The sequence below is a fragment of the Homo sapiens genome, chromosome 3, assembly GCF_000001405.40.
Source record: "Homo sapiens chromosome 3, GRCh38.p14 Primary Assembly".
NCBI lineage: Eukaryota > Metazoa > Chordata > Mammalia > Primates > Hominidae > Homo > Homo sapiens.
In genome coordinates this window covers 110,568,674-110,582,466 of record NC_000003.12, presented here as the reverse complement: position 1 = coordinate 110,582,466, position 13,793 = coordinate 110,568,674, and the positions used below count along the sequence as shown (strand labels likewise).

The 13,793-nt window shown below is 34.5% G+C and overlaps 1 long non-coding RNA gene across 1 annotated transcript in view, besides 1 other annotated feature; it reads left to right on the top strand.

Annotated features, from left to right (window-relative positions):
• LOC105374037 (uncharacterized) overlaps positions 1-13,793 on the top strand; it is a 112,561-nt gene that overhangs the window by 84,827 nt on the left and 13,941 nt on the right. The gene's annotated exons all lie outside the window — the stretch shown is intronic.
• Positions 5,073-5,661: an enhancer, noted in NCBI's record as "OCT4-NANOG-H3K27ac hESC enhancer chr3:110295653-110296241 (GRCh37/hg19 assembly coordinates)". NCBI's record gives its function as "activates a minimal SCP1, AML or CMV promoter by ChIP-STARR-seq in naive and primed H9 embryonic stem cells {active_cell/tissue: H9 hESC(naive and primed)}" and the evidence as "EXISTENCE:reporter gene assay evidence [ECO:0000049][PMID:30033119]".

Here is a 13,793-nt window from a genome sequence, read left to right as displayed (position 1 = left end):
TGAAACAGAATAGAGAACTCAGAAAGGAAGCTGCACACCTACATCCATCTGATCGTTGTCCCAGCTGCTCAGGAGGCTGAGGTGGGAAAATCACTTGAACCTGGGAGGTCGAGGTTGAGGTGAGCCAAGATCATGTCAGTGCACTCCAGCCTGGACACCAGACCAAAAACAAATAACCCCATTAAAAAATCAGCAAAATACATGAACAGATACTTCTCAAAAGAAGCCAACAAACTTGAAAAAATGTTCAACGTCACTAATCATGAGAGAAATGTAAATCAAAACCCAGTGGGATATCACATCAGTAAAAATGACCATTATTTATTTCTAATAAAGAAAGTTAAAACAACAGATGCTGGCACAACTGTGGAGAAAAGGGAACACTTATACACTGTTGGTAGGAATGTTAATTAGTTCAGTCACTGTATAAAGCAGTTTGGAGATTTCTCAAGGAAATTAAAACAGAACTACCATTCAATCCAGTAATCCCATTAATGTGTATATATCCAAATGAAAATAAATTATTCTACCAAAAAGACACATACACTAATATCTTCATTGCAAGACTATTCACAATAGCAAAGACGTGGAATCAACCCAGGTACCTATCAATGATTAATTAAATAGAGATTAGATTACATGAGGAAAATGCAGTACATATACACTATGGAATACTATACAGCCATACAAAAGAATGAAATCATGTTCTTTGCGTGTATGCAGTTGAAGGCCATTATCCTAAGCAAATGAATGCAGGAACAGAAAACCAAACAACACGTTCTTACAAGTGAGAGCTAAACATTGAGTACTTACGGATGAAAAGATGGCAACAGTAGACACTGGGGACGGCTGGAGGAGTGGAGGGGACAGGGGTTGAAAAACTATTGAGTACTATGCTCAATTTTTGAGTGACAAGTTCAATTATATCCCAAACCTCAGCATCACACTAAGTACTCATGTAAAAACCCACACATGTACCCCTGACTCTAAAATGAACGTTGATATTATTGAAAAATAAAAAAATAAGACTGGGATCATGCCTGTAATCTCAGCACTTTGGGAGGCTGAGTGGGTGGATCTCTTGGGCCCATGAATTTAAGACAAGCCTGGACAACATGGTGAAATCCCATTTCTATAAAAAAATTCAAACAAAACAAAAAAGCAACACATGGTGGCATGCGCCCTGCAGTTCCAGCTACTCGGAAGGCTGAGGTGGGAGGATCACTTGATCCCAGGAGGTAAAAGATGCAGTGAGCTGAGATTGCACCACTCCACTCCAGCCTGGGTAGACAGGGAGAGACATTGTCTCACACACAAAAAAATAATAAAAATAAAATAAATAAATAATTTTTTAAAAAGTGTGTTGCTACACACATCTATTACTATAAACAAAATTTTGAACAAGAGGATTATTTAAAATCCTGGATAGGCAATAGCATCAAGAACAGTATTTGATTTTACAGGTATGACATTCTTAAACTCCGTATTCCTAGGTTTACAAGATGCAGCTTCACAAGAATTATCTAAACCAAAGACTGTGGCTTGGCTTTTTTATAGAAACATGTAATTTTCCTGAAAGCTACTATGTTATGAATTATATAGAGTAATAAGTATAGGCCTTTGATAACATGTTATCTTATTTTGGGCTCTAATTTGTACAGTAGTGATTATAGTTCCAAAAAGTGTTCTCTCAGTGTGAAGATACATACCATCTTCAACTGCATTACTGAGAAGGTATCCTTTTAAAATTTATCTTAAAATATTCCTACTGTTTACTAAAATAATGTAGTGAAGTGGTAGGAATATCCTATATAAGTTTGAAGATAAAATGTATTCCTTCTATATTTCTGAAATTTGCTAGATGTTAGGATTATTAGGTGATTATAGAAGTTACAGAGATGGATCACTACAGAAATCTAGTGTTTTCTTCTTTGTCACTAAATGGATGCTGCTGCAGGCAGTTAGCTTGTTTCTTAGCTCACCAAAATGCCGGTGATTTTTATACATATTCTATGGGCTGATTCATAGTTCTGACCCTGCTTTTTGAAAAGATGTAATTTCCAGCAGGTTTTTTGAGAAGGTCATACACATATTGTCTTGATGTCATGTGGAAAGCACTGGCTCATCACAAGAGCCCTGTGGCTTTTAATGAGTTTTGCCATCAGAGAGGTATTTGAATATTGTTCAGTAGCCTTGTGTCTCATCATTATATTTTGCTTCAAACTTGAATTAAAGGAGAGATGCAAGCAAAATCCTGACAAAGCAATCGATATTTACTTTGTGTATAAACCCTTGCAGCAGATCAAACTTGAAAAAGATATCCTGTTTTCTAGTAATATCTAACTGGACCCCTACAGATATCAAGCATAGGTCTCTTTAACTAGGCAATCCCAGCATAAATGGAGTGGTTACCGACACTAAATTGGTCTATTTATCCTGGAATGAGAGAGGAATTGCAGTCAGCAGGAGGGAGGGTAGTTTCTGAGTCATATGCTCTTGCATAGAAGAAGAGATGGGAGGTGTTGTTAAAATTAATTTGCTACTCAGGCATTTTAGAAAATATACTTGCCTAGCTTCCAGGATTTAGAGGTATCCGAAGCTGCTGGCAAGTAGGCCACCTGAGAAAGACGTGTAAAACATGGTAGAAGAAGAATGAACAATATTTCTGTATCCAATTCACTGTGACTTCTCTGTTTTTATTTTTTCTGGTGCCCTTAAAATGATCATGAAATAAAGGGGTGAGAAGATGCTCAATTATTGGAATGCTTGTAGTGAAGACAACCATGGCTCAAGCATCTTCTTAGTCACACAATAATGAATACCTCCCTAATTTGATGTGCTTCAAGTAGCTCAGACTGTTGACAGTAGCAAATCTGGTAAAAGAGGAAATGACCTCTGCAGAGCCTATGGAGGGTATATAACAGACTCTCAGTAGAGGAATTCTCACTTTTACCTCCAGCTAGTTCTGCTGCTGCCACCAAAAAAATTTGAGGTTTTCCTCTTCTTCAGATAAGATTATTATTACTACCACTAAAATGAAAGCAATAACTACTACTACTGCTACTAAGAACAGTAGCTGCCATTTATTGAATAGGATGTGTTAGGATCTGTCCTGAAATCCTTGTATGCTCTATTATTAGTCCCCATTATAACTCAGATATATTGCTCATCTCATATTGCAGGTGAGGAAACTGATTTAGAACGATTAAACACACACAGAAAGTAAATGGTGAACACAGCATCTGTACCTGTCGCTGTAGCCCCCAAATGCAAATTTAGTCATCATTTAGTTAATTAATATGCAAGAGGTGCTTACCAGTGTGAAGAGTTTCATTTTGTAAATCATGTACAGCAAGCCACATGTACAGAGCTCTTTCTCCTGTTCTCTCTGATCTGATCTCGTTTGCTCCTTGACAGGCCATCCCAGTCAGCCCTGCTTGGGGATCACTAGTCATGGATTTATGTGACCATCTCAGTCCCACACTGTTTCTCTTTATTTTGCTCAATTCATTTTAGTCCCAATTTTTCAGTTTTCTTTTTATAGTTAAGAGCTTTGCTTCACTACTTCCTTCATAACACTAATCACATACCCACTCTTACTTCAATCTCCTTTAGTGTCAATTTATTCTTTAAACATGTATTGAATTCTTACTATATGTTGAGGAACTAATACTAGTATTAATTGATCTATGATCATAGGAAACTTGGAGGTTAATGAAACAGATACAGATAAACAGCTAAATGCAGTTCAAGGTGATGCATAGGATTATAGTGATAGGCAGAAAACAATACATTATAAAACTAGAGTGGAAACATCAGAGGTATCTTCCTAAAGGAAATAGTAACTAAACTGAGTGTTGAACACCAAAAATAAGTTAGTCAAGTGAAGAAACATTTCAAAAAGCAGAAATAGAATGTTTAAAAACAATGTTAAAAGAAAATTTCAATTAATTCCAAATGACTGGAACTTAAGACTGGGAAAGGTAGAGGCTTATGGGACTAGATTGAGGAAGTATTCAGAGAGAAAATCAGGAAGGACCTTGAAGCTCCCCACAAGAAGACTGCATTTTATCCAATGAACAGACCCTGGGCAATTTTACATACTAATTGAGAAAGGGAGTGAGACGGGCTTGAACTAAGGCATACTGTAGTTCTGTTTACTGCAGAAAGGAAGTTCAAGAACAGCATCACAACTTGTCTGGGCATTATTTCCTCACAGCTAATTTAGGCTTCTCTGCACCCCAAACTGGCCAAGAAAGTTAAAATGCTACATTTCTCTAATAATTAGACTTCTTCATACTGAAAATTTCCTTTGAAAAAAATAAGGATATTTTAATATGAAGCAGAAGTTTAGCAGTTACTTTTTGCGTGCCTGTGTGCATGTGTGCATGCTAATTTCTGTGAGACTTGGTCATAATCTTAATCATTCTTGAAAGCAGAGAGTGATGAGTCTGACCTCAGGGAAAAGCTAGGCTGTCTTTCCTGGCATCTTGATATTATAATAGATTTTAAGATTCTGTCAAGTATACTGAAGGGAGAATCCATGAACACTGTACATTTATTAAAGACCTACTATGTGTCCGCAATTTTCTCTATGCTATGAAATGTAAAAACAAAATTTAGTGTCTCTGTCTTCAAGTTGCTAAAATATAATTGGAGAGAGTAAAAAAAAAAATCCCCAATATTATTAGATAAGATTTTGTGGCAATACAATCTTTTAAAAACTTGGTAATGCAGGCTATGAAAGCAATGGGAGTTCAGGGAAGAAAGATGTCCAAGCAGGATATGCTTGACCAGTGGGTGCGATAGAAGGGGCCTTCCTTTAGCTGGAGGTCCTGGCTGAGTAGCAAGTACGGTTAGTTTACAAAAAGGGAGTAAGATTGCATACTGTGAGTGGAAGGGGCCAGGGTTGAGGTACAGAGTATTAAAAATCTTTAATGCTAAGCAAGAAATGTAGGTCTTATTAGGTAAGTTGTGAACAGAATATAATAATGAAGTCTTTTTATTTTTTTTTAACTACTTTTGCAGTGGTGTATGAATTTGCAGCCACATGCCTACCTGGATTTGTGACTTTTGTGAAAACTCACTTCCTACCCTGGCTTCCCCTATGAAAGCAGGGCCTGTGACACAGGCTTACATGGAGATAGTTTATTTTGAGAAATCATCCCGAGTCAGGAGAGAGTGACGCTGGGATGAGGGAAACGAGGATGGAGGACAAGGCCATGCAAGGTTCAATAAATACTAAGCTGTCCTTGCAAGGGCATCTGGGGCTGATTAGGCTGGGGCTTTCTGTGGAGTCATCTCACAAAACCTACCCAAGGAACAAAAGATTGGCACATTTATTCACAATTGCTCCATGGGGTATTAACTTCCTCATTGTTTGCATTGCATTTGCATGACTGCTTGATGCTGAGTCAGAGATGCCCAAGAACAGAAGATGAGAAATTCTAGGTTGAGCTGAGAGTAGGTGCTGTATTTGTACATTATCAAAGGTTGTGCATAGAAAGGTCTGGAGTTTAAGATGAATTGAAAAGTCCTGACCAGAGGCAAGAACTATCAGATATACTCATCATTTCATTTTTAAGTAAAAATTTTAAATGATTACAAAATGTATACAAATTTATTATTACCAAAAGTATTATGTTAACAATTAACCAACAAAATATTGCCTAGAAATCATTTGGACACATCTTTAATGAATAACTTAAACTGAGTTATTATTAATATTCTCTTTCTAAAAGCCTAATATGGTGCCTGACATGAAGTGGGTGTTTAATAATGACATATGGAAAAATTGAGTGCATTATATCATGTAAACAAGTGCTTTCAAAATGGATTGAAAGGTATATTCTTCAGTACAACTGGGGTAGCAATGATGTCAGGGAGTGAACCAGAGGGCTTATTAAGGAACTAATTTATTTTATAAATATTTACAGATGGCACCAGGGAAAACAATAGCTTACCTTGAAACCAAATTATTTCAAAACCCATTTCAAATTGTAATTGATTAGTTTTTGAAATCATGTGTTTTTTTAAAAAAAAATTAAACCCCTTATCAGAGAGCTTTACAGTTTGTAGTAACCAATAATGACATAATGTGCAAACGTAAATGCAAAAAAATTAAAAAGCCACAGAAGAGTGTTACAAATAATTAATAAAAGGATGACTTTGTAGTTTTAAAGTAGGCTAATAATGCTTACATGTCACATATATAGCGTATAGTATCATTTGTAAATATTCTGGTAAAGTGAGCTATTTCAAGACATGGAATCATATCTTTTCCATCCTCTTTTAAATGCTTTTTGTTCAATGAATACATCACTAAACAAAAATTTACAAAACATCTATGTGTCCACTCAGGAGTTTGAAGTAAGTGCCTGCTTCCATCTGTCTACTTCCATCTCTCTACTTGTTTCTTTCCTTGCTTGAATGATAGTATTAACATACTAAGAAGTTCTTGGACATCAAATTTTAGTATTAAAACATACGTTTTTGAAGCAAAATGTCCTCATCGTGCTCTGGAGAATTCCCTTCCGGTTTTAGCATGGTACCCACAGATTCACCTCCTGGTGGTGATGCTTGTCAGCTACAAAGGCAGGTGTGGTTTGGGCAGGGAGTAGGCTCTGAGCCCTTCTTCCTGGACTTTAATGAATTATGAAGATCCAGTTGCCTTAGATTTTCTTTCAGCCACATAGCCTTAAATCTGGGCAGTCACTTCAGAGATGTTTTTGTTGGTTTTAATTCTGTAGTATCTTGTGGACTTGCAAGCTCCCAAGATTTCCAGTGCCCATAAATATAAGCCATAGAAAATTTTTCATCCATGGAGCTTAATTTTAATTTCAAGTCATCTTAATTCTCACAACAATAAGTGGTTTAATTTTAATGAAGTGATTCATGACAGACAAGACATCACCACAAGAAACCAGCTGAAAAGTGATTCGTTTTTCCCTCAGACTGTGTTTTTGTCAGGATTCTGGAGAAATTAGGAAAATGGAATCAGAGCTGGCCAATCGTTGCTTATGTAGCATTGTAAAACTCTTAGGCATCTTGTCTAACATATTTATCTTAAACTTTGTATCCCAATGCTTAATGAAAGTACATCTTTTCCAGAACACTCTTATATTTTGATATCAGAAATCTCATGTTTAAGAAACTTGCTGCTTGGAATATTAAAATTCAGTACCCGATTGTGAAGTGTGATAGAGCAAATCATCTTTAAGTATAAATCTTTGTCTGCCTTTATATAAAATAAGGTCACAAAAATTGAATGGTGAAAAGTCAAATTATATATACTAAAGGGGACAATTATAAAATGTTAAAAATTCATAAGGTTACCTTCTTCTTTAGTAAAATTTTCTCCGTCTAAGGAGAGGGCATCACCACTTACCTATTTGCTCAAGTGATTTGTATTGGTATCATCCTTTTTTTCATTCTTTTCCTTTACCACTAGTCCAGCAAATCTTGTAGATCTGTTTCCAAAATATAGCTCTTCACTTGTTTATTTGCAGAGCTACCATCCTATTCCAAACATCTCTCATGTACACTGTGATAATATTCTCCTCCTACTCTTTCTTCCTGTGTCCATTTTGTCCCCCTTTATATACACAATTTACCCAGCTGCCAGAATAATCTTAAAACATAAACGAGAAAACTTCACTCTACATTTATATTATAGTCTAAATAAAATCCAAATGCTTTCACAAATCAAGTACTCCTTTTTTTCAGAGACCTGGGAACTTGAAACAAATTGTCCATCCTGAACTTTCTCTCCTCTTTTGATCATGGCTTATCTCTCTCTATTCTTTTCCTTTTCCTATCTTTCCTTTATAAATATTTCTGATGTTTTTATATCAATTAGATGCTGTGCTAAGTAGTGCAGTCACTACAATGGGTGTAGGGGCCAAAGGGGACACAAAACTTTTTTTTTTTTTTTTTCCTCTCTGAGGTTTATTGAAAAACCAGCTCACAAAAGGAGATTAACTGAAAAAAAAAGGCATAAATATGTGAGACTGTGTACATGGAGGAGAGCCACAGAATAATTCCCTCAACCTTCCCATGGGGTTCAGAAGCTTATTTATCATCTTGAGGTTATAGAAAGAATAGAGGCTTGGACTGTAGCCAAATAGGTTCTGCTGGTAAACAGGTTATGGGAGTTGGAGAAAGATGAGGCCTGGCAAGCAAAGACAGCCTTGTCCTGTAGATGAAACCTCACAGGTAGCAGCCCTCAGAGAGAATAGATGGTAAATATTTCTTTTTTTTTATTTAAAAAAATTTTTTTTAAATTATACTTTTTTTTTTTTTTTTGAGACGGAGTCTCGCTCTGTCGCCCAGGCTGGAGTGCAGTGGCGGGATCTCGGCTCACTGCAAGCTCCGCCTCCCGGGTTCACGCCATTCTCCTGCCTCAGCCTCCCAAGTAGCTGGGACTACAGGCGCCCGCCACTACGCCCGGCTAATTTTTTGTATTTTTAGTAGAGACGGGGTTTCACCGTTTTAGCCGGGATGGTCTCGATCTCCTGACCTCGTGATCCGCCCGCCTCGGCCTCCCAAAGTGCTGGTATTACAGGCGTGAGCCACCGCGCCCGGCCTAAATTATACTTTAAGTTCTGGGCTACATGTGCAGAACTTGCAGTTTTGTTACACAGGCATACATGTGCCATGGTAGTTGCTGCACCCATCAACCCGTCGCCTACATTAGGTATTTCTCCTAATGTTATCCCTCCCCTAGTCCCCCAGCCCCCAACAGGCCCTAGTGTGTGATGTTCCCCTCCCTGTGTCCATGTATTCTTTTTGTTCAAGAATACATGGAACATAAGAATATTGTTCTTATGAGTGAGAACATGCAGTGTTTGGTTTTCTGTTCCTATGTTAGTTTGCTGCGAATGATGGTTTCCAGTGTCATCCATGTCCCTGCAAAGGACATGAACTCATCCTTTTCTATGGCTGCATACTATTCCATGGTATATATGTGCCACATTTTCTTAATCCAGTCTATCATTGATGGACGTTTGGGTTGGCTCCAAGTCTTTGCTGTTGTGAATATTTCTTTCAGACTTTTAAAGGTGTCAGACTCTCTGTTAATTTTCCCTAAATTCAGCCAACGGAAGGTCTCAGAGAAATCCTGGCTGCCTCAGATGCCGATTTGTGCTACAGATGCAAATCTCACCCACAAAAGACAGCTTTCCAGGTTATTTCTCTTTGCAGGCCCTCTGAACCGCAATCTCAAAATATGCCAAAGAAGTGTATTTTGGTGTGAAATATTTTGATTTTCTGTATTGGAATTTTTTTTACCTCCGAGAGCACAATAAACATTTTATCCATCATTGAAGCCTTATCTTGTACATCAACTGTGAATGAAAACTCTCTTGACCCTCTGAGCAAGGTGTAATCTCTCATATTCTTTTAAAAATACTGCCTACATATAATAAAATTCATACATTTTACGGCTATGCTTATATTTTTTCTTAATTAATTACTTTGGACCTTTGTCAAAAATCAGTTTACTATGTATGTGTGGTTTATTCCTGGTCTCTCCGATCTGTCACATTGATCAATTAATCCACCCTTATACCAAGACCATGTTGCTTGATTATTTTTAGAATAAGTTTTTAAATTAGTTGATGTAAGTGCTCAACATTTACTCTTATTTTCTCAAATTATTTTGAATAATCTTGGTCTTTTGCATTTTCATATGAAGTTTAAAATAAGCTTACAAGTTTCTTCACAAAGTCCAGTAGTGTTCTGATTGTGATTGCATTGTACCTACAATTTAATTTGAAGAAGATTTTCATGTTACCATTACAGAATCTTCCATTCATAAATATAGTATATATCTTTGTATATTAAGGTCTTCCTTAACTTCATTTTTTTTTTAATTTTATACTTTCAACTTATGTTCTTGCACATTTTGGTCAAATTTAGCCCTAATTATATTTTCAGTTGCTATTGTAATAAATAATGTTGCTTTTTAAAAATTTTGTTTTCTAATCATTTTTACTGCTATATAAAAATATAACTAATTTTGTATATTGATCTTGCATCCCAAAAGAGTGTAACATTCACTTATTTATATTAGTAAAGTTTTTATGCATTTCTTAGCTTATTTCTACATATACAATCATGTCGTGTGCATATAAGAAAAGTTTTATAATTCCTTTATAATCTCTCCATATGGTTTCTATTTCTTTTACTTGCTTTAATGTGTTAGTTGAACATTCAGTAAAATTTTAAATAGAAGTGGTGAGAATTGACCTTCTTTGTTTTAACCTTGAGTAGGAATCACTCATCTTTTCAGCTTTGAAGATAATCTTAGTTGTTGATTTTTCAGATTTTCTTAATCAGGTTGAGAAAGTTTTCTTCTATTCTCAGTTTTCTGAGAATTGTTATCAATGAAAAGGTTTAAATATTTTTCAAATAATTTTCTTGCATGCATTGAAGGGGTCATATGGTTTTATCCTTTATTTTATTAAAATGCTGAATTAAGTTGATTGATTTTTCACATATAAACCAACCTTAAATTCCAAGGATAAACTTCCACATAGTCATAATGTATTATTCTTTTTACATTTCATTGGATTTTATTTGCTAATATATTATAGCTTTTGTGTCTATGTTCATGAGGACTATTAGTCTGTCATTCTCGTTTCCTGTTATATCTCAACAAAATAAGTTGAGAATTGTTCAGACCTCTATTTTCTGAAGCTGTAGAATTGGAATTGTTTCTTTCTTAAATGTTTGAAAAAAGAATAATCAATGGAGCCTTATAAGCTGGAAGAAATATTTTAAAATAATGTGGAGGAGGAAGTGGATTAATTATGAATTCAATTTCTTTAATTTGTGTGCATCAATATACATTTTCTAGTTTTTCCTACATTAGCTTTGGTAGTTTATTTCTTTCAAGAAATGTGTTAATCTCATATAGATTGTCAAATGTATTGCCATAAAGTTGTTCATAATATTTCATTACTATCTTTTTGAACTCTTAAGGCTCTGTAATGATGTTACTTCTTTCATTTGTTATTAATAATTTGTGCCTTAACTCTGCTTCTCTCTTTTGTTCCTTCCTTTCATCCTTCCTTCTTTCCTTTTTTCTTTTGTTCCTCATTCTCTCTGGCTAAGCATTTATTCATTATATTGACTGTTTTTCAAAAACAAGTTTTAATCTCATTGATTTTTATTATTTTTTTGTATTTCATTGATTATTGCTCTAATTTTTTGCCTGCTTTGGACTTAATTTGCTTTTTTTTTTTTTTAGAGTAGAAAATTAGATCATAGATTTCAGACATCCTTATATTCTAATAGAAACTTTTAGTGCTATACATTTTCCTTTAAGCATTGCTCTGGTAGAACCCCACAAATTTTGATACTTTATATTTTTATTATCACCAATTTTATAATTTCTTCTTAGCCAAATATTTATTGAGAAATATATTGTGTAATTTCCAAATACCAGGGATTTTCCTGGCAATATTGTTAGGAAATTTTAATTTAATTCCATTGGGATTAGAGAACATATTGTATGACTTCAAACTTTTTACATTTATTAAGGCATTTTTAATTCCTCAAAATATAATTTACCCTGAAAAATGAACAATATACATTTTAAAAATATGCATTCTTCTATTTTGAGGTGTAGCCTTTTATAAATATCAATCAACGAAAGATATTTGATAGTGCTGTTCAGATCCATGTCTGCTAATTTTTGTCTAGCTATTTAATAAATTACTTAGAGAAATGAGTTTTTTTCACATAAAATTATAGAAGTGTATAATTTTTCCTGAAATTTTGTTAATTTTTGCATCATGTATTTTAAACTTCTGTTATTATCTGCACATCAGCTATTATTGTTCTCTGATGAACTGACACACAGTTATGATTTTTTTTGTTTTAATATCTATTTTCTCTCATAGTTATGTAGTCATTCTAGCCTCTATGCTCAGTGTTCACATTTATTCATTTATTTCTAACTAATCTTTATATTTTAAAGCACATCTCTTGTAAGTGGTCTGTAAATGTTTGGCTTAAAATTTTTTTTGGCAAACTTTTTTTATTGGAATATTTAATTAATTAACTTTTAATGTAACAATTGACATGTTTGCATTTGAGACTACTATTTTGCTTTTTATTTTTTGGTTATCTTTTTTGTTTTCTGTTCCTCTGTTCTTCCTTTTCTGCTTTTAAAAAATAATTTGGGCTGAGCGCAGTGGCTCACGCCTGTAATCCCAGCACTTTGGGAGGCCGAGGGGGGTGGATCATGAGGTCAAGAGTTTGAGACCAGCCTGACCAACACAGTGAAACCCCGTCTCTACTAAAAATACAAAAATTAGCTGGGCGGTAGTGGCGTGCGCCTGTAATCTCAGCTACTTGAGAGGCTGGGGCAGGAGAATTGCTTGAACACGGGAGGCGGAGGTTGCAGCGAGCCGAGATCGCACCACTGCATTCCAGCCTGGGCGACAGGGTGAGACTCCATCTCAAAAAAAAAAAATAAAATAAATAAATAAAAAATAATTTGGATGATTCTTTGAATTTTATTTAAAATTTTTAATAAACATTTTTGTGGCACTTTTGCATTTTTAAGTGGTTGTTTTTTATAAAGCATACATCGTTAACTTTTCACAGTCCACTTATAATTAACACCATACTACTTAGAATCAATTATAGAAATCTTGAAAGCATGTAGATCCATTTTAGCTTCCTTTTGGTTATAACAGGTAGTTGTTATGTATAATATATAAGTACATCTTCAAGTACTGCAAGAAAATGTTTTAAGTTTGTTTTAAACATCGACATGGTATATAAAGAACCAAAGGAAAAAAAAGTAAAATAAAAAACAACTTGCAATTTTGCAGGTATTTACTATTTTCTGTGTTCTTTAATGTTTTCTTGGAATCTGAGTTTCTATCTGGTATCACTTCTCTTCAGTTTGCACAATTTACTTTAGTATGTCTTATAGTGCAGATTTGCTGGTGTTGAGTTTCTGAAAATATCTTTATTTTGCCCTCATTCTTAAGTAATATTTTTATTAGTTATCGAATTCTGGGTTAGCAGGTTTTCCTCCCTTTTTTTATTTTCTTTTTCTTTTCGAAACATTCATCACAAAGGTGTTGTTTCAGTCTTTTGTGGGAACCTCTATTTATGGTGAGAAGTCAGCTAGTAATGGGTTTGTTGTCACCCTGTACATAATATGTCATTTTCTATTTGCTGCTTTCAAGTTTTGTTCTTTATATTTGTCCTTCAACAGTTTCACTATGATGTACCTCAGCACAGACTTTTTTGTTTGGTTGGTTTTTTCTATTTAGGGTACCTTTAGCACCTTATATCTCCAAATTCCTGTCTTTCAACACTTTTAGAAAAATTTTCACTATTATTTCTTTAAATATTAGTTTTCTGATTTGTTTCCTTTCTATTATTTTGGTATTAAAATTACATGTATGTTTGACAATTTTGTATAATCTAACAAGTCCTTATGGCTTTATTATTTTCTCTATATTCTTCACCTTCGATGATTTTCATCACCTGTCTGAAAGTCCCCTTAATCTTTCTTTTTTCTTTGCTTATATTTTTATTTATAAAGACATCATGTTTTATTTTATTTCACTGAGAATAGATATAACAGGTAGCTTCAAATTCATGCCAGTTAGTTTCAATATTTTCTTTTCTTTTGAGAAAATGTTCCATCTTCTTAGTTCTTATTTTACATAATCTTGGATTGCATATTAGACACTCTGAATGTGAAGTCATGGAGGATCTGTATTGTGTTATTTTCTCCAATGAGTGTTTCCTTTGTTGTATAAAGT